Source organism: Homo sapiens, chromosome 10 (assembly GCF_000001405.40).
Source record: "Homo sapiens chromosome 10, GRCh38.p14 Primary Assembly".
Classification (NCBI taxonomy): domain Eukaryota; kingdom Metazoa; phylum Chordata; class Mammalia; order Primates; family Hominidae; genus Homo; species Homo sapiens.
The window spans coordinates 110,268,098-110,290,192 of record NC_000010.11 but is presented as its reverse complement, the minus strand read 5'-3'; the positions used below and the strand labels follow the sequence as shown (position 1 = coordinate 110,290,192).

The window sequence follows — 22,095 nt, the reverse complement described above, 5'->3', positions numbered from 1 at the left end:
AGTTTTGGATATTTAATTAATCTTTCAGTTCCCAGGCAACAAAAACTGGAAACTTAGTTCCACCACACACCTTACCAGTTCATTTAAAACAAAACCAGTATAGTCACTGGAATTATTTAAACTGTAATTTGTTTCTCCACTTAGTCTTTTTTAAGAATACGGCTGAAAGAGCCATGGTGATAATCATTAGGAGAGAAGGTTGGCATTTTGTTTGAAGAGCTACTTTCTCAACTTGGGGCTGAAAGTTATGGTTGTTGTTTGCTGGCTCAGGATTTACCTTTCTTGGTAAAACTGATGTGCTTTTGTTTTTTCCCCTTTCAAGCCCTGTACTTACTTTAGCAAGATGCAGTGAATTTCTGACCAGAGAAACAAAGAATTCAGGCTTGGAGGAAACACTTGACTCCATATCCTGGGAAACTAGAGTTGAAGCCTGAGATCTGAAGCTAGGCTAGTAATCACTTTAATAGATGGTAACTGTCCAAATGTTCATTGTTCAGAAGTAGCAGGAAGGAGTAAGTATCCCTTTAATTCTTTTGCCTGGAGTTTTTCCCTCCAAAATCGCCCCTCAGGTTTAGTTGACCTAGCTTTCTAAGTGTGATGAAGCTACTAATTTAGAAACGACTGATCTTAAATGTATATTCTTCTTATAATTTTAGAGGTACTTTTATAGGTTTTGTTATATTTTTACAGTGCTATTCTGTGCCCTGGTGTGAGCATCTGAAATAAGTATCTCAATTATTACCCTACCAATAAAGATTTTTAAAGCATTCCCCATGGCAAAGAGCTATGAGCTTGAGGATATGGAAAAAATTCCAAAACTACAGTAAGTTAGTTGGCAGTATCTTAAAAGAACTTCATTTAAAGCCATTTTCTCTAATTTATGACTGTATAGAAAGGTAAAACAACAGGAAGTGAAGTTTTCAGCCAGTACATTTATTTTGAACTACGCTGCCTATTTAAAACAATCTGACATATTCCACAAGAAAACCAGTTTCCTATTAGTTCTGATACATAGGAAAGGAGATAGCTGCTGATTGTCTTTTCTTGGCAAAGTCAGCACTAAATACTGACCTAGGGCACATTATTATCAGTGTATAATATGTTCAACTTGAGATTAGTCCTTTTTCTTTTTTCTAGAAAGACCAACTAATCACTAAAACTGATGCTGCATTAATCTTATAAAGCCTTCATTTAAGAAATTCTATAGGAGGCTGGGTGCAGTGGCTCACACCTGTAATCTCAGCACTTCGGGAGGCCAAGGTGGGCGGATCACATAAGGCCAGGAGTTCGAGACCAGCCTGACCAACATGGTGAAATGCCCTCTCTACTAACAAATACAAAAATTAGCCGGGTGTGGTGGCACATGCCATAGTCCCAGCCACTCAGGAGGCTGAGGCAGGAGAATTGCTTGAACCCAAAAGGTGGAGGTTGCAGTGAGCCGAGGTCACACCACTGCACTACAGCCTGGGTGACAGAAAGAAATTCTATAGGAAATAAAAAATAACTACTTTATGTTAAAGTATTACCTACCATGGAATTTTAAGTGAACCAATATTTAGGAACAGTCTTTTTCTGTAAGATCTGGAGTCAAAGTAACTAAAATTCAGGATTAAGGATGCATTAAAAGGTTGCATTCATCAGAGAAACTAGAGAAATACACCCCTTTTAATTTCCTTAGTGCTACATCTTCCTAGATGGCAGTCAGGGAGTGGGGTGGTAGTTTATATATATCAGCTTAAATCCTTACAACCCTTCAAGATAGAGGTAGTACTTATAATAGCTTTTCAGGAAGAAAAGGGCTCCATGAAGAAATCAAGCAACTTAACTAGGGTCAGCAATGTTGGAACTGGGATTACAGTGTAATTAAAACACTTGCTTTTCCCACACTTTACTGTTCTGGGTTAACTGTTGGGAACCTGATTTTGGTCAGCAACTTTGCCTCAATAATCCTCACTGCCTCTTAAAATTCCTTCATAATGCTAAAAGCAGTCATTGTCAGGGAGATTAGAAAGGCATTTCTGTAGGAGTTCTCATACCTATTCTAACCAGAAACTTGAGTTGCAGTGACTTCAGAATCCTCTAGTCATAACGCGCTACAGTAGGTTTTACCTGTACCTTTTTGAGACGGAGTCTCGCTCTGCTGCCCAGGCTGGAGTGCAGTGGCTCGATCTCAGCTCACTGCAGCCTCCGCCTCCCAGGTTCAAGATTCTCCTGCCTCAGCCTCCTGAGTAGCTGGGACTACAGGTGCATGCCACCACGCCCAGCTAATTTTTCGTATTTTTTTTTTTAGTGGATAACGGAATTTCATCATGTTGGCCAGGGTGGTTTCAAACTCCTGACCTCAAGTGATCTGCGCACCTCTGCCTTCCAAAGTGCTGGGATTACAGGTGTGAGCCATTGCACCTGGCCTACCTGTACCTTTTAATATAAATGTCACTCAGGTGTTCTATAAATAGGGTACCCTAAATAAGATTAGTGGAACTTCCAGACTTGTTTGCAATTTGAATAATAGTGTAGCTAAAGGATGCTCCCAAAAGTTATTTAGAGAACAGATCATGAGAATGGCTTTGTGTCCTACCTGAGGCAGTTAATATTATTATTAATGTGGCACATTAAACCACATGCAGTTAGGTTATATGGAGTTACCAGTCAGGCTCCTGTTTAAATTGCAGAACAGGAATGGCAATTATAATTCAAACTGCCATTTGATTTGGCATTGATACTGATTTGGTATCAACAGACATTTAGGAGATAGTTACCTCTTAAGGTGTGGATACCCATTCATGTTTTTGCCTTCATAAAGAAGGATGGTACAAAAAGAAAGGTATTCTTCGTTCACAGTTTTTATTTCTTCCAATTAACTTTTGTGTCTTCAAAGTTGATTTGTCTTTTAAAAAATTAATACTTCTTACTCATACAATCTACACCACCCCAAGGAAAACAAACCCAGGGAAGGGTAATTTAGGGGGCAGTTAAAATGTGCACTATAGGTTTATAACAAATGCTTTCCAGCCCATAATCCTGTACATATGCAACAAAATGGCACCTCAAGTTCATCTGAATGAAGGCCCAAATAATGCAAGCGAAGGCCATGAGAATAACAAAACAAACAGAAGCTTAGTCACTGGCTTCATTCACTTTGTATGGTAGCACAGTCTTCAAACTGTCTCACACTTGATCAAGAGTAAGCAAACACAGAGACAACATCTTGACTCAGCCATTAGTAATTATAAGTGAAACCAGAAATAATTTACCTGGGCCACAAAAAGGAATTGTTTTGTCCTGTTTTTCATTAAGTCCCTAGCACCTGAAACGTAGCAAGTTCTGATACTGGGCTTCTAAAGGCATGCAGTTTTTCACTCACATCTACTTCAAAGAATTTCTTCCACTGAAACATAGCACAATCAAGGAAAAACTTCTTCTGGAGGCAAAGGAAGAGCACAAGTATATGTTGAGGCGTAATGTATGACCAAGATGGTACACTATATATAGAAGCAGTGAATGCTGTTAAAGTGTCACTCACAAAGGGATAGTCTAACATTAACACACAACTCAACTGCACTGCTAAATATGGTTGTCTTTATTTTCTTTTTCCTTGCCCAGCCCTATCTAAACATAAAATAAAACTACAGGACTGAAATTAACAATCCATTAAAATCAGCAATAAGTTATGAAAATCATAAAGCTTTTTTTTTTTTTTAAGTAATTAAGGGTAGTTAAATTATTTAAAGTATACAAAGTCCAAACAGCCAGGGGTAAGGTCTCCAAGAGGCCTTCCCAGGGTAAGGGAGAGGGCCACAAGGGAACCTTGGAGTTTGAAAGACAAAGGGAACACATGACATCAAAGTGCAGGCTAGAAATTTCACTTAGAAGAAAATAACATTACTGAAAATATTCGTAAGAGTAACAATAGCACCTGCACAGTGGGACTGTGAGGAAGAGAGAGACTGCCTGTAGGAAAATGGAAGCAAATCTTTACATTAAAATGAGACAAGTGCTGAACTTACTATGTTAACTATGATAGTGTGTCTACTATAGATATCAGATGGTTAAAAGCTGGTAAAAGGTAATGATTCTAAAAACAAAAATAGCATTGACCCTTTTTCTACCTAGCCCAGACCTCATTCATTTTGTGCACTATAAAGAGTGAGGTGTGAGGTGTTTTATCATTATCAAATGCTGCATCAAAATAGATGATTTTTTTCCCCATGTGTTTTTCCACTATAAAAGACATCTATTTTTTTTTATGGATAAGCTTTAAAAAGATGTCATTTTGGTTTTCAACACATATAAACAGTTATCAAAATCTGAAATAAAAATGCTGCTGTGGCTCAGACCTTGGCCTGCTAATCTGCGTGCACAACTCTTCTGACCCACGCAGACAAAGAGGCACATGGAGCTTTTTCCTTTTGGCCCCCCCAATCCATACTCATAGGCCTTGTAGGATAGAGGCTGTCATGCATGGACTGCTCCCATGTGGCCTAAGGGCAGCAGGATGGAGAGGTGGCAGCTGGGTGCCTAGTGCTAACAATGCAGGATAAGGTTAGCTTGCTTAGCATGGAATCCAACAGAAAGTTGAGCTGCATGATGATCCCTTTCAAAAGGCTTCATGGGAGTCTCTCCTTTTGCAGAGCATGAAATGAGCTTTTTTCAAAAAAAAAAAATAATAATAAAGGATTGATCATCCACAGGCTTCATGATAAACTGTCCCAGGCTGAGTTTTAATAGCTCATTATTAGCTATCCAAGATTAATACCTGATTTTCTTGTCTTTTCATTCGAATAGTTTTTATTTTGCTTTTAGGACCATAAAGCTCAGGAAGGGTTCATAACCCCATCCTTAAATGTGTCTACTCAATGTAGTATGAGCAAACTAGAAAAGAGAAAGAGGATGGCATCTCCAATGTCCTCTTCTCAATCAACTCAAATCAAGAAAATTTCACACAAGTTTTCTGCTGCCATTAAAAATTGTGATTTTTCCAATATGAATATTCTGAATATTTGTTCTCCTTGGGAGGCTCTGCCCCACTTTTTGCTAAGTATTTGCTTAAATACAGGTCCTCTGACCCTTTTGTTCAAGTATAGTTTTGTTTTGTTTTGTTTTGTTTTAAAGAGGAGACTGCATCATGAACCCAATTTAAGAGATTGTTTGTATTGAATTGGCCCAGTGAATATTTTGCCCTGCACTGTTATGTCATGCTGGGTTCTATGAAGTGAATGAAAGTTTGACACTGGCACTGGAGTAACCCTCGTCACTCCCAATACTCGGCAGGCTGCTGTGGTCATCAATGTCACTGATGCTGGTGGTACTTATATTGTCCACTTCTCCATGGGAGAACTCTGTGCTTTCAACATCCACTTCAATCTCCTCTGCCAAAGGAAAAAAAAAAAAGAAGAACATTAATTATCGAGTATAGCGCACCTTCAAAAACTAACAGCATGAGGAAAAGAGGTATAAGAAATGTTACACAACAAGCTTATTATCAGTGATGTCTGGAGAACAGAGGAACAAGGTGAAGAGACAGGAATATTTTTTGCCAAGGGGAATGTCTGATATACAGTGGTGGTCTTAATTTAGGCAGCAAATTTCCTAAATCCTTTGACGCCAGTCCGTCTGGACCTCCCTAAAGCACTTGGCGTATTTGGGAATTAGTGCTTAATATTAAAAGGTCCCAACCCCCAAGTGGTTTAAAAACATCTGTTTTGCATTAAACCACAAACTAATTCTCAGTTCTGTTTATTAATCAGGGTTGCCTTAAAGGGTGGGCAGGAGCATAAACTTAATATAGGCAAACTAGAAAATTTACCCATCCAAGCCTTTGGTGGTGCCATTCTACAGATAGTTCAACAGACTTCTAGGATTCATCATAAAGATCTTCAACTAGTCAGTCAAACAAGTCATTATAAAGTAGAGTTTGAGGTATATGTCTTAGATTTAATTTTCTTGCATCAAATATAGCTTGAAATAAGGGCCTGAGACTTAAAAGTCTTCAGATTATAGTGAGATCCATTTTGGTGGTAGTATACAGACTTAAAAGCCAAACATTAAAAAAAAAAAACACCACAAATACATATTTGACTCAGCTATCAATAGATAATGTTGCTGGACGCAGTGGCTCACGTCCGTAATCCCAGCACTTTGGGAGGCTAAGGCAGGAAGATCACTTGAGTGCAGGAGTTTGAGACAAGCCTGGGTAACAAAGTGAGACCTCATTTCTACCAAAAAAAACACAACAACACAAAAATTAGCTGGGTATAGTGGGTGATCCAGTAGTCCCAGCTACTCGGGAGGCCAAGGTGGGAGGATCACTCTTGAGCCCAGGAGGTTGAGGCTGCAGTGTGCCAAGGTCTCACCACTGCACTTCAGCCTGTGTGACAGAGTGAGACCCTGTCTCTTAAAAATAAAAAAAAAAATCTTAATTGTTAAATACTAGATATTCAATCATCAATAATATACATAAATCAATACACATGTTAAAAACAAAAAGGAGTTAAAAAGTTGTTTTCTCCCATCAGAGCTAGAGTGAAACCCAGGATTTTTCAGTTACCTTACTTAAATTCAAAGCCTGATGTTTCACATTTGGCACTGACTTTTTAAGGGTTCACACTAATCACAACTGCTTTAAAAAAAAAAAAAAAGTGGATTCAGCCGGGTGCGGCCAAGCACTTTGGGAGGCTGAGGCAGGTGGATCACGAGGTCAGGAGTTCAAGACCAGCCTGACCAATATGGTGAAACCCCGTGTCTAGGCTAAAAATAGAAAAATTAGCTGGGCATGGTGGCACGCGCCTATAGTCCCAGCTACTTGGGAGGCTGACGCAGCAGAAACACTTGAACTTAGGAGGCAGAGGTTGCAGTGAGCCAAGATCACGCCACTGCACTCCAGCCTAGGCGACAGAGCGAGACACTCTCTCTCAAAAAAAAAAAAAAAGTGGATTCTTGTGAGGCCAAAAGGACAGGGTGAAGCTATTTCCAGGAATATACTTTTCAAAAGGGCTTGTTGCTTCAAAAGTTTTAGAGATTCTAGAGATGTTTTTAAAATGTAGGCAGCTGTCCAAATAATCTGTGAATTCATATATTGGCTCTATATCCGAATTGCTTCAGAAGCCATTGTTTCCCAGCACCACTGAACACTCATCCAACCTACAACTAGAAGATAATAACAAGGCACACTATCCAAAAGAGCATGCTGAACTCAGTCAAAATAAAGTAAAATGATGGCCAACACAGTGGCTCACACCTATAATCCCAGCACTTTGGGAAGCCAAGGCAGGAGGATTGCTTGAGCCCAGGAGTTTGAGACCACTTGGGCAACAAGGCCCATCTCTATTTTAATAAAATTTAAAAATATGTTTAAAAAAATTTTTTAAAAACCCAAAAAAACAAAGTAAAATGAGAAACTGCTTTAGCCAAGTGTACCACAGATGTTAACTAAAAGCCCCCATAACACTACAAAAAGGAGGTTGCCAGCTCAGGATAAGGATGGTACTTGGTAAGGTACCGCTAAAGTAAGGTACACTGGGAACACTAAAAAAAAATGAGAGCTATAGTGATGAAAATACACCCTCCTCTCTGAAATTTGGAGGTAGTTGGGGTGGGTACAAGGAGGAGGTAACAGGAAGGACAGCTAAAACCTAAAGACCTAAGAAGAGGTTTCCGCTAGTTAGCAATAGAGGAAAGACTGGGACACCAAGGTCAGGGTTATTTCTGCTATATTTCACTGTTACTGATAAATGTAGCATGTACTTCAGGTTCTTGCTACTGCCTCTGGTAGACTTTTCTTGAAAACTGCCACACAAAAATAAACTTTTACATAGAAAAATAACAAAACAGAAAAACAAGAACTCCTAGGGTTGTGTTAAAAAGGTTGCGTTAAAAAGGATGAAAAAACTATTTAAAAGGCTCCTACTCAGCAAATCTGGGACAGTTTGAGCATTCAAAAGAATTTAAAAGGATGACTGCAATGGATTGGAACACATTCAGTACAGCAAAACATGAGTTCATGATATAATCAAAAAATAGTAAAACCAAAACTTGTTACTTCTGGAAGCTGCTAGGTTACCAACTCTGTTTGGAAAACTGATAAAGCAAAAACCAAGACCAAGCATTTATCCCACCTTCCCTGTATGAACTTTATTTCAGGATAACCGAAAAGTTGATGAGAAAATGTTTATAGGAGAAAAACAGTTTATAAATACAAGAGGAATGACACAATTAGAAAATCACTATTTTATGACACCCAATGAAATAAGGGCAATAATTGCTAAAACTGTTAAGTTAAAGGCTATACATTTATATAAATGTATTAAAATGACCTTACCTGAACCTATTGATTAATATTAAAAGTGCAACAACAACTACACACAATACTGACATAACAGGAAGTACAAAGCACCACCTATGAAGTATTCTGCATCTACCAACCAGTTTACAGTCAATATAAAGGACATAACATGTTAAATGACACCATGAGGATTCAACCAGCCAAATCTAGGATGTAGGAAATTCTATAAGAAAAATGACTCAGTCTCTTGATGTTTAAAAAAATATGTACATATATACAACACACAGATCTATACCTATATATTCCTTCATGTTTTCTCTGCCAAAGAAGTCTTTTTGAGATGTTATGTAGAAATCAGTTTTTGTTTCTACCAAAACGGTGTAGGGGGAAGAGAAAAAATTATTATAGATTAATATCTTAAAAGGCACATCAAACAAATGCAATGTGGCCTTTGGATCCTGATTTAAACATACCAATGGTAAAATGCCATTTTTGAGACAACTGGAGAAAATGTATCACAGACTGGGTATTAGATGATATTAAAAAAGATTATCTGAATTAATTTTGTGGGGTATTATAATAGCATTATAATTACATTTTTAAAAATCCTATTTATTCAAGATACATACTAAAGTATTTAGGGGCAAAATGATGTTATCTGGGATTTGAGTTAAAGCATTCCAGAAAAAATATTGAGGGTGAGCGTAGTGAAGAACAGATGAAACAAGTTGACAGCTATTCAAACTGAATGGTGGGTATACAGGAGTTCATTATTCTATTCTAAGTATGTTTGAAAATTTCCACTTAAAAAAGTCAAAAACAAAAAACAAAATCAGAGTCCTAAAAACAAACAAACAAAAAAACTCTGTCACTTGTCTCATGTTTTAGAATCCTAAAGAGCTCATGAGCTCCTTTCTCCAAATGTAAGACTTCAAATCACCAGTGTTCACCTCTGGGATCTTTTAATGTGATATGAAGCCTGATGTGGTGGAAGCTTTGGGAAGAACAATCAGTAAAATTCAAACCATTCTTTTTTGGTTGACTTCTGTTCTTTAACTCTGTCAAAGATAAATATTCTAGGATAGATGGAAAGAGAAATAAAGGGTGTTGTACTTTAAAATCTACATATAAAAATTCACATCACCAGTAGTAAAAACTTCGACATCGTGTATCTTCCTGACACAATGGATTGAGAAAGGCACAACATCATTTCTTTTCTTTTTTTTTTTTTTGAGACGGAACCTCACTCTGTTGCCCAGGCTGGAGCGCAGTGGCATGATCTCGGCTCACTGCAAGCTCCGCCTCCCGGGTTCACGCCATTCTCCTGCCTCAGCCTCCCGAGTAGCTAGGACTACAGGCGCCTGCCACCACGCCCGTCTAATTTTTTGTATTTTTAGTAGAGACAGGATTTTACCATGTTAGCCAGGATGGCCTCGATCTCCTGACCTTGTGATCTGCCCGCCTTGGCCTCCCAGAGTGCTGGGATTACAGGCATGAGCCACCGGGCACAACATCATTTCTGTGATATTCCTTACCCCAACTGTATACCCTCAATCTAATCATTTGAAAACATCAGACAAACCTAAATTGAGGGACATTATATAATTTATAATATAAATATATAAATATATTTTTTTTCAAGGAAAAAACAAAAAGTTTTATAGTCCACACTGGCACTGCTGTAGACAATATTATGATTGCATAAAACCTACAATGTTACTCTGTTGGCTAGAAAGAAAGCAAATACAGTGCCTCCCAACATACCTTCCCTAAATCCAGATACAGAGATGTTTAGTATTTCATTAGAGAAGAGGCAAGCTGCCTACCTCGCTCTGAATCAGAACGATCTGAAGAAATAGTTGATCCAATGCTGTCCATTCGTATTCGTTCCATCTCCTGAGGACCCTGCAGCTGTTCCAGTCGCCACTTTAAAAATCTCTGTTCTCGTTCCAAATTCTCGAGCTGGTGCTGGCTTTTTCTTTCAGCTTCTTCAAGTTTCTGAAATGATGAAATGATTTTTACATTTGTGTATAGTCCAGTACAAACAATAAAACTGATTCCTCCTTTAGCAGAGAAAACATGAATGAATATACATGTGTGAGTGTGTATAAAAATATATAAATACATTTTAAAGCCTCCAAAATGAGAATGCATATAAATACATATTTTTAAAAATAAAAAATAGTTTTGTCTTTACTTTTGTGTGTATGTAATGAATGCTATGTTACTTGAACAAGATGGACTTCTAAAAGTCTGTAAAGTAATCTCCACGGAGAAACTTCCTCTAGTATGGTATTTGATGGAAAAATACGGAAGGACACAGCCAAATGAAGTCATCTCCACCAGAGGGCACAACTGCCTTCCGAGTATGAAGAGGGTAATTGTTATTTTCCTAGTGTTCTCAGTTCTTCAAATGGCCACGCTGTCAAAACAATTTAGTTTAATCAGGTTATGTTGTTCCCATCAGATTAGCTGGTAAGTTTTTAGAAAGACTTCTCTTGAGGTCAGTTATTAAGGAGGGCATGGTGAACTAGCTGATGTATATGAATAGGAATCAGTGCCAATAATTAAACCAGAACTGAGGGAATTGTGCAAATCTGAAAGTAAAAATTCTCACCTTGATGTGTGCTTTGGCTTTGTTGAGCAAACCAAGTGTTGTGTGCCGGGTGCAGTCTGGTCCTAGTGGAATCAGAACTTTTAAGCGTTCTAAACAAAGGCGCAGATGAGCTCGTCTAAGAAAGACAAAAAGTCAAATCAGCACAGTCTGGTTATTTCACTAGAAATATCATAAAACCTATTTTAAGATAAACAATAATTTGCATTTATTCAGCCTATAGGATAGATGTCACACCCCTAATTCTCCACTGTCAAAGAATGTAGGGGTGGCCGCATTTCAGTCTCTGCTATTTCTGTTGTACTCTTTAGACAACACTCACTTTAGATTATTATCCCCAATGGTAATCTCTGTCAAGATGGTTTATTTTTTAACTCACCCCATAAACTGTCTCAACTGTATTAATATGGAAGTGTGAAAACATACCAGGACAATTGTATTTGATCTTGAATAACTAAAACCACAGGCGAGAGGAGAGGTTTTCAGCTATGGTACCCCAAGGGAATATAATATGCTCACAAGTTTCTATTTCCCCCCTCCCACCTTTTACTTGCTTGCACGTGTGTGGGCACACACACACACACACACACACACACCCTACCTCTCTACAACTGTAGCCATCCTACAGTGTGTTACATGTTGTTATATATTAGTTTGAACCACATGAAATTTCTGATATTCAACCACTTTTCACTTATAAAAATGTTGATTTCTTATACTCCAATACAACAGAAACAGCAAAATTCTGTGACCAGCTAGGGTAGGGTTAGACAAAATATATGCCCTGTGGTCAATTCTAGCCACAGAAATAACCCATAAAATAATCCCCTGCTTCCTATCTAAGTGTGCTAGCTCGTTAGCTTAATTTTTATTTCTTTTTTCTCTTCCTCTCTCGTCTCTCTCACTACCTGCCTCCAATCCACAAGGACAACAGGTGACAAAAATTACTTACTGAAAGTCATTGCATTCTCTAATCTATCCTTCCTGTGGGAAAGTTGAGGGAAATTTCTCCTAGAAATGCTAGCAGAGAACCTCATGGATTTACCTTCCCTGTGCCCTAAAAGAACTATGATCATGGTGATGAGAGAGTTCTGAGTATTTAACTTCATCCTAAAACAATACTAGTCCACATCTTTGGTCCTGTGTTTCATAAGGGGTAAGGTAATTCAGCAGTTAACAGCATATCTGAAAAGAAAATCCACAAATACGTTCACAGTTTACCCCTAGTCCTTAAAGACCTATAATTGAACTTTTGGTAACTGTCTTAACTGCATCAAGAACAAAACACACACCCTCCATTCTCTTCTGAAAGAGGACTAAAATGGTTTTGCTAATTCACACACCAAACTATGCGCTTTCTCTGTCTTAATAGACAAGAAATAATGTCAAGTGAAATTCTCAAAGGCTAGCAATTTGAAAAGAGAGGTAGGAGAAGGCAATAAGCAGCCAATTATGTCATGACAAGCAAGGATGATTAAGGGTAGTGAGGTCAGAGGTTTGGCTAATGAATTAAGATTCTTCTAGCACCTACTAACCTAACTATAGTTAAAGGTCTGACAGTATTTCCATTTCAAATTTCTTTATTGAGTTCAGTACCTCAGGTCTAATAATTGGGTCCAGGCTGAAACCTGACGTAACTGGTGTGGATAAAGGAATCCCTAAATCAAAGGTATATCAATGGATTCTCCTTAATGATATTTAACAACTTCAAAGTCACTTTCCTCCCCTGCTGTACTACCCAAATGCATAGAACCTTTAACAAAATTTTCATTTTTAACTGGAAAATTTCTTAGGTGAGGATTCTCATGTGACCACAGTGCTCTTGCTCAGCAGACCAAAAAAAGCAAACAAACAGCAACAACAACAAAACACCAGAGTAAAAAGTGCCTTTAAACTCTTCATTAAGATTATTATGGCATATGATAACAACTGCACTCATATAATATGACTGGAGCGTGGAAACAAAGACTGGCAGCTACACTAATAGACAATCCTGCTTTAAATTCAGTCTTCTAAAAAACTCAACAAAGCAACTAGTAAAGTTAACAAGCACATTACCGCAAGAATACCTTGTCAATTTGGTTCAAATTAACTCCAAAACTTCAGTATATGTAAGAATTATCTTTTATTTTTTAGTTTTTAAGAAACTTAAAATGGGCTGGGCATGGTGGCTCATGCCTATAATCCCAGCACTTTGGGAGGCCAAGGTGGGCAGACTGAGGCCAAGAGTTCGAGACCAGCCTGGCCAACCCAGTAAAACCTCATCTCTACTAAAAATATAAAAGTTAGCTGCGCATGGTGGTGCACGCCTGTAATCCCAGCTACTCGGGAGGCTGAGGCACAACAATCGCTTGAACCCAGCAGGTGGAGGTTGCAGTGAGCCAAGATGGCGCCACTGCATTCTGCCTGAGCCACAGAGTGAAACTCTGCCTCAGGAAGAAAAAAAAAAAAAAAGAAAAGAAAAGAAAGAAAGGAAAATCAAAATGATTCCATAAACTTTCACATCAAGGAAAAGAAAGGTGAGTCTATTTTCCGTTTTGTGATACTTGCTAAAACCTAGAATGAAAATAACTAACATATTAAAATTTTTTCTCTCTTTAATCATTCCATGTATTTATTACATGGATTTTACATACTCAGCACTGTTCCAGACACTTGCTTGAGAAGGAAAAGTAAAAAAAAAATGTTAACTTTAAGAGTTTACACTCAAGACTACAGAAAGAAACATATTACTTTGTTTCATTTGGTCCATACTGAATGAGTCATACAGATATCAAGGACAACAGAATCTGAATAAATCGAGAGATTGTAATCAGAGGAGGGAGACTTGTAAAAGAGGTTGAAATCTGACTTTGGACTTAAAGAATATTGAATTTGTCTATGAAAAAGTGAGGATTTGCTAGGTAATTTTAAAAGTAAAGGACCTAAATTTATGGATTGGGACCAAGTTTAAACATAAAATTGAAAAAATCTGAATAAATGGAGAGATTGTAATTGGAGGAGGTAGACCTGTAAAAGAGGTTCAAATTTGACTTTGGACTTGAATAATATAGAATTTGTGTATGAAAAAGCGAGGATTTTCTAGGTAATTTAAAAAGTAAAGGACCTAAATTTATAGACTGGGACCAAGTTTAAACATAAAATTTAAAATGCCTTATTTTCTCTCCTTCAAGGGAAAACAACTGAGCTGGAATTCTATATGGAAATAATCAGCTAGTTTCAGCTGTCTGAGGATCTGCAATGCACCGACAAATCAGGAGGTACCCAGACCAAAGTTTGAAAAATGCCTAAATGAACAGGGAAGGCAGAATGCTCTAAAAGATATTTTTTTTAGCCACTACTGAACATTTTATTGTCAAATAATTATTCATCTGCTCTGAGATACAGCTTACACCAAGAAAATATACCCTGAGATATCTCACAAAGGCCAGTGATGCCATTCTTCATATTTTGTAAATACAGTCCTCCAAAATCGGTATTAATATGAAAGATGAACAGTGAATTATTTCCTCTGCTCTTGTGGACAGAGGTGTACCTGTGGAAGATACATGTCATTTCCTTAAGTTTTTGTATTTAAATGAAACAGGCATTTGGAGAGTAGAATAACAAATGGTTAATGGCAGTTGAAGAACAGCAGCTGACCAAGAGGGAGAGTCCCATCCAAATAATGCACACAGTTACCACATGTCCTTAGCTGCCACTTAGGTAAATGTACCCTTCCAAGAGCAATGGATGCCCTGTAACTGTAAACTGGAAAGAGTTAAATCAGAAAAATCGATTCTCCTCAGTGTCTAAGTTTTTTTTCTCTCCTGCAAATTCTTAGAACAGCAATTGTATGGCAAAATTATTCTTCCTTTTCAATGATGCTGCTCTCCACCCTTTCCCCCATAAGTCTCCCTGTTGGTAACCAGATTGCAAGCTTAACCACCAGTGACCTAGAAAGGCATATCTTTTGATGCCATCTGGTCCCTTCTTTTCTTGCCTTCATTCTCATGTGACTGGTAGCTCAAGAGCCTCCTGTATGAGGCTGCCAAATCATGGGTGCTGTAAGACTTTGGGGGAAGGAAAAAGGACAAGCAATAGAAGAAAAAAGCTTGGTTTGATTTGAAAATCCTTATTCACAGGCTGGGTGCGGTAGCTCATGCCTGTAATCCCAGCACTTTGGGAGGCCGAGGTGGGTGGATCTTCTGAGGTCAGGAGTTCGAGACCAGTCTGGCCAACATGGTGAAACCCTGTGTCTACTAAAAATACAAAAATTAGCCAGGCATGGTGGTCCGTGCCTGTAATCCCAGCTACTCTGTCGGCTGAGGCAGGAGAATCGCTTGAACCCAGGAGGCAGAGGTTGCAGTGAGCAGAGATCGCGCCAGTGCACTCCAGCCTGGGTGACAGTGTGAGACTCCACCAAAAAAAAAAAAAAAAAAAAAATCCTTATTCACTGAGGAAAAAAACTGCAAGTATCATATGATGATGTTTTTCAAGTCTCCAAGGGAGAGAAGAGCTGACATAGAGAATAACGATTCATGAAAGGCATGGTCCTGCACCTCTAGTAAAAGAAGGGAAAGAAGGTTGGGGAAAGTTAAGGCTGCTCTTCTGAATATTATGATGAACATTAGACAAACAGCAAGTAGAAAAAACCTGGTACTGAAACATTTATAGAACTAGACTTAATGGAAACTGATTTTTAAAAATTTAGCTCCTTGGTGGACATTTACTTTATTTTTATTTAACACATACTTTTTAAAAACACATGAACAGCTAATAAAAACTGTAAAGCTGAAACCTTTCCTATTTTAGCATGAGTTATAGTAAAACAAAGTTAGAATTAGGTACTGCAGCAGGAAGTGCCCTGTGAGAAAACTGGAGTCCCCTTGCTGAGAGGGATGGGGTTACACAATGAAGAGTTCCCAAAGTACTTTTATTTTCAAAGACACTTTGAGTTCTGTTTTAAAATGAGATTTTAAAGTGGGTTTTGCCCAGGGGAAAAGGTAATTCCCAGCCACTAACCCTGTTAGAGAGAAGAGTCCTATCAAAATTAACCACACCTTCAAAAAGGGCAAGCCCCTTGTGGGATAAAGAACAATGAGAGTCTGTTTGGCTTTTATTTTGGTAGATTGGTATCATTTTTCCCTGAAGGAACCAATGCTCCTTTTGATTTCAAACTCTGTAACCTCTACTGCCAAACTGATGTACCACAGAACATGAAGGGAAATGATTTTGGTATAAAATGGCCTCTACTAGTAGCTGTGCTATTTTAAAGCACAGGTATATCAACTATAATAGGAAGCGCACACTGTTGTGGGAAGAGAGAGGAAAGAATACCCTTTCGGAACAAACTCCAAGTATCATTTGATTATGTTTTTCAAGTAGTCTTTCAAAACTCTAATACCCCTGTCCAACAATAATAGATCTAACCCCCGCCTGGCCCCACAAACGATCCACTGGCTGATGCCTTTGGAAGCATGGTCCTTCATTGGAACCTGCTTGTCTTTCATTCTTCCACTATAGGATACCTAGACTTTACCAGATAACTAAATCAAAATGGAAAGCAAGTCAAGTGATGGAGACAGTGCTTATATTTTCCGCTCTGCTGAATGTTACGTAATGAACTATGAGTCCTCTCATGAGCCACATTCTTCAAAGCTGCAGTGGCTTGTGGCCAGGTTTCTCAACTCCCAACACACACTCCTGCACGTGACAGCAGCTAGCTACTTTTCCTACACATATATACCAAAGTGTCTCTAAAACTTAATGTGTTGAGAATCTTCTGAAAACCCAAATTTATCCCCCCAAAAAACCCTGCCTGCCTGTTTTCCTAATGAAAAATGACATTAAAAATGGATCCTGATATATCAAAAGCATATTGTGGTTCATGAGTTTTATTTACTAAAACATGTATGATCATATTCTGCTGTTCAGCTTATTCGGTTCATGAAATAAGAAAGCTAAACAAAGGCCAGGCACGGTGGCTCATGCCTGTAATCTCAGCACTTTGGGAGGCCGAGGCGGGCGGATCATGAGGTCAGGAGATCGAGACCATTGTGGCTAACACGGTGAAACCCCATCTCTACTAAAAACACAAAAAATTAGCCAGGCGTGGTGGCACATGCCTGTAGTCCCAGCTACTTGGGAGGCCGAAGCAGGAGAGTTGCTTGAAACTGGGAGGCGGAGGTTGCAGTGAGCCGAGATCGCATCACTGCACTCGAGCCAGGGTGACAGAGCGAGACTCCATCTCACAAAAAAAAAAAAAAAAAAAAAAGCTAAACAAGCTATTTCTACAAAATGGCATTTGATAATCGTATGTTTCACCTACAACTCATATATTATCTACTTCACAGAAAATAAACAGACTGTTAACTCCCAGGTAGTAACGTGGCAAGTGGCAGGTCCCTAGTGTCAGATCTGATTGTGGTAGTCATGGGACTCAATGATGACAGAAATAAAAACTTAGGAAAATAGCTGGGACTCTCTTCTCACTTTTCAAAAAAGCAGCTTTCACTTAAATAGCCTTCTTAATTGGTATCTTATAAAATAATCAAATAGAAATATTAACAAGTGGTATAATAAAGCTGCAAATTCTACAAATTACATATAATATATAATATAATAATATAAATTATTCTGTCACATTGTCAGCCTCAGCATGAAAGGGCTTATCTGTATACAAATAAGAATTAAAATGGTTGAGATGCATGTTACTTATTCTTGGGAGACTTTTTAAAACCACTTTCTTTCAATAAAATATAAATAGTTCTTAGCATAGGCTATATATACCTCTAGAGGTATTCAACACTGAGCCAGAGGATATTTGAAGCCACAGGGTTATACTATCCTTTCCAGAAGTCATAATTTTTTCAAAAATTTGGAAGAAAAATATTTTATATAAAAACAAACACAGATAATGCAAAATGTGTTTTTAAAAGAAGACTTCAAATTTCATATTATTTCAGACAGGTTGAGTATTCCTTATGTGAAATGCTTAGGACCAGAAATGTTTTGGATTTCTCATTTTTTCAGATTTTGGAATATTTGCATTATACTCAGCTGAGCATCCCAAATCCAAAAATCCTAAGTCTGATATGCTCCAATGAGCATTTCTGTTGAGAGTCATGTTGACACTCAAAATGTTTCAGATTTTGGAGCATTTCAGATTTGTGGACTTGGGATGCTCAACCTGTACTACATCCCAGGGCCTCCAGGAATCTATGTTCAAACTGCTACAGCAAATCACAACACATCACTATGGACTTTGGAACATCATTTTTGACTCATGGCTGGGATTATGTCTCTCAAAGGTTTGGAGAGGGAAAAAGAAGGGACAGGGGAGAAGGGAGAGAAGATATGGAAGAGAGAGGAAAGGGAGATGTAAATTAATGATGACAAAATAGTCACATATTCTTTCTCAAACTACACAGATACCACATAGGCTGAAATGTCATTTAGTCTTTACAACTCAGAAATATGAAGAACATGAAGTGCCACTCAGTCAATAACAATTATCATCAGTAAACAATAGTGCCTTATTATACCACTGAGCTAAATGCTATAACGATTTTTCAAGTTGTCAGTAGTATAATCTTTACCTGTTTGAAGACTATAATTTAGTCCTCTGCCTACCACCTTTCCAGCCTCATTTCCCATAACTCATACCCTTGCAAACCTCTTCCATAACCAAATGTGCTTTTATACTTGCCAATATCTCTACCTGGAATGCATTCTCTCCAAATGTCCACCTGGTGGGCATCTAACTCATTTTCAGGCCATGGCCAAACAATTTCTTCCACAAGATCATCCTTGCCATACTCCTTCCTCAGATGATACTTGATTTCATACTAATCACACTGTATTTCAATTGAGAGTGAATCCATACTTTTAGTCATTTCTGTTTTTCAAATAAACAGAATGACTGGCACACAGTGGGGAGGAGAGATGTAATACTTCTAGTGGATGTTTCTGGGACTCTCTAACTCACCAAAGTTGAGGTAACAATCAACACCAGGACCTCCAAACAGTATAATCAGATGCCAGGCCAGCATTTGTGAGAGATCTATTTATGAATGCCAGAACTCTTAACCTTTTTTTTTTCTGGTGCAGCTGAAATCACCAGCAAATGTTAATAAGGTGCATACCACCAAAGATGTCTACATGTAGAGTAACCAACAGTCTCCAACCTAACTCTTGATGAGAGTCAACACTTTTTTTTTTTTTTGAGACGTAGTTTCACTCTGTTGCCCAAGCTGGAGTGCAGTGGCGCGATCTCGGCTCACTGCAACCTCCGCCTCCCAGGCTCAAGCAATTATCCTGCCTCAGCCTCCTGAGTAGCTGGGATTACAGGCATGTGCCACCAAGCCTAATTTTTTTTTATTTTATTTTACTAGAGACGGGGTTTCACCATATTGCCCAGGGTGGTTTCGGACTCCTGAGCTCAGGCAATCTGCCCGCCTCGGCCTCCCAAAGTGCTAGGATTATAGGCATGAGCCACCGCAACCGGCCAACACCTTTTTTAATAGTGAAGCAAAGGGTTTAAGAACTGCAGCTTTTACAACAGAATGACTTTATCAAAGTATTTACAGTGAAAGGGGCCTAGGACTAGGAAAACAAACAGCTAAGAAAACCAAGGTATGAGAAGGGAAAGTCTAAAAAGCAATATTCCACAATGCAAAGAAGAAAAAAATTAAGTCAACAGTTCTTAATCCCATGTAATAAATGAGAAACTAGTGTATGCTTACCAGATCCATGGACTGCTTGCTAAGTTGAAGACTATAGTGCAGAACATATAAACAACTATTTTTTTTAATTATCCTGCATTCATGTCTAAGGAAGACTTCATTTTTGACAGCCTCATTTGAAAAAAAAAAAAATAATTAAATCTTGTTCCAGAGGCATTTGTTCTTCACTGGAACTCCCACAAGGAACCCAAACTCCAAAGTGATTTAACAGAAATTGCTCACTTGACATCCATTCTGTGCTAAATTTAGTTTCTATGCATACTTCCCCTCTCTTATCTGTTTATAAGGATTTAGTTAAAAAGAAAAACTTGATCATTCATTCACCATATTTCTTCTTTGGTCACACAAGAACTTTCTGTATTCCAAGTTTCAAAGTCTGGGAAATAGGGCTACATCACTGGAGAAAACAGTGGCAATTTGTTCTAAATACAAAATAGCTTATTTTCCTTTGGCAACTTTCCAGGGGTCTGGGTAGAGGGAAGGGATACTCCTCTCTAGAGAGATCAGGCTCTGAACCTGGACTACTGTCAAAACTTAGCCATCGATGGGAGAGAATATTTTTTAATTATCTTTCACATCAATTTGGAAACTGATTAAAGATTTTTGCCTTATTAACAGTTTTTCTACTCTTTGGCCTTTTGTTGGTGTTCATCTCTATTCTGGCAGCCCCCATTGGCTGATTTAATGGTACCAAGGGGCTGAGAAGTGTTGCTGTCCAAAAGAAAAAGCATTCTCTCACAGGGACTGGGAAGGCAATCTGCAATCACAACAGTAGCTACTTGTTAACTTTCTATTTGAAACACAGTGATGTCAATAGTATTGTACCCTGCCAGCCACCATGGGGTAAAGTACATTTTGAAACCAAAACAAACTTCCTACGTGCTGGCAAGTGAGATCTGAGACGCAGTGATAATGTTCTACAAGACACTGACCTAATTTTATGTACAAAATGCAAGAATTAAGTCTTCTCTTCTACAAAAGTTTAAGTCTAACTCTCACAGCTCTATTCCCACCCAGAGCCCAGTGTAACTGCTTTATTGTATCAAATTATTGTCCAGGATGGAAGAGGGAAATGACGAAATACTGTTACTGATCTCTAATTAAAATGGTGATCTTACATAGCACAAAACAGCACATTTAAAGAATGCTTTGTAATATAGCTGTTCATCTAGAAGCAGAAAATGAAAATAGCAAAGCACCTTTAAAAGTGGCCCTACTAATAAGATGTGAGTTGTATAATAGCTCATTTTAAGGGGAATATTCATATAGGAGGAAAGACATTTTATTAAATGGAACAGGAACAATCTGGCCCAAGAATTAATTCATCCCTGGAAGGCGAATATTCATAATTTGTACTGAATATGAGCAACCTGAAATAGAGAGCTAAACGATTAAAAGTGGTAACCATGCTTACTACTGGCAGATGGCAAATGGTTTGGCATTGCTGGACATCTGCCAATCCAGTCAAGCCAGCCAGGAATTATTTTTAAAGTCCCATTTTAGAACAATTTTCCCAAAATCAAAATGCAGTTTGTTTTTTGGTGAGGAGGAGATAAAATTTGCAGTAGAAAAAGGGTAACAAAGAGGAATTGTTGGCCAGTGTGTATGTGTGTATGTGTTGTTGTTGTTGTTAATAACTGAAGCATTTACAGGCCATTTGCAACCTCTGGAAAAATAAAATTTACAGAATTTAAAATACGCCATAGTCCCTGATAATAATAGAGAATCAATGTTTTGGTATGTCTTTTTATTTCTAAATTACTTAACTGTTTTGACCTCTCTTTCATTATACTGTATCACTTTTTTTTTTTCCTGACCACAAAGGGCCCAACTGAAGAGTAGTTTTTGAGAGTAACTTTTGGAGGCAGCCTAGCATAACACAACACCTGGCACCAATCCTGGGCATGCCCTCCTCTGATAAGGCAGAAATTTTCTCAGTGTTATATATAGTAGGGCACTTACAGATTAGCACTTTTAGGTAGATAGAAAGTGAACATGCCTTAAGAACTACTTTATTTTTTAAAACCCTTCTGAAAAGGGAAAGGTGTTTGATAGATTAACAACAATTACAATTATCTCCTCTTTATCAAGTAAAAGACTGGGTTCAAGTTATATCTGGGTTGCAACATTACACTGTGTGACTTGCTTCTATTTATATTTGTCTAAATCTTAGTTTGACTCTCCTCTAGAAAAGCCCAGGAAAAGATTAAATGAGAGAGGAATCAAAGCTCTAGTATTTATTTTATATGATTCCAGCCTCAGCTCAATACCATTACAGTTTTCTAAGGACTGCTACACAAGTGCTATTATTTTCATTTCATCAATAGCTCAGGAGAACAGCCCTGAAAAATCTATACAGTTCCAGGGATTTGAGAAAAGAAGGAAGAGACAGGTGGAGGGGAACATGTTTTATTTTGTTACCATTGCCAGTCAATATTTTAGTTGTTCATCAGGCAGGTTGTGTGGCTCTCTCG

At 38.1% G+C, this 22,095-nt stretch overlaps 1 protein-coding gene across 3 annotated transcripts in view, besides 1 other annotated feature; it reads right to left on the bottom strand.

The window, feature by feature from the left end:
- Window positions 2,828-22,095, bottom strand: part of MXI1 (MAX interactor 1, dimerization protein) — a 79,761-nt gene continuing 60,493 nt past the window's right edge. For all 3 annotated transcript variants that reach the window (NM_130439.3, NM_001008541.1, NM_005962.5), the window contains 3 exons: window positions 10,899-11,013; window positions 10,108-10,279; window positions 2,828-5,369 (listed from right to left, as the gene is read on the bottom strand). In NM_130439.3, the coding sequence (NP_569157.2) occupies window positions 5,206-5,369; window positions 10,108-10,279; window positions 10,899-11,013 (451 nt within the window). In that variant the 3' untranslated portion in view covers window positions 2,828-5,205. The remainder of the gene's footprint in view (window positions 5,370-10,107; window positions 10,280-10,898; window positions 11,014-22,095) is intronic.
- Window positions 4,307-4,808: an enhancer, noted in NCBI's record as "NANOG hESC enhancer chr10:112045143-112045644 (GRCh37/hg19 assembly coordinates)". NCBI's record gives its function as "activates a minimal SCP1, AML or CMV promoter by ChIP-STARR-seq in naive H9 embryonic stem cells {active_cell/tissue: H9 hESC(naive)}" and the evidence as "EXISTENCE:reporter gene assay evidence [ECO:0000049][PMID:30033119]".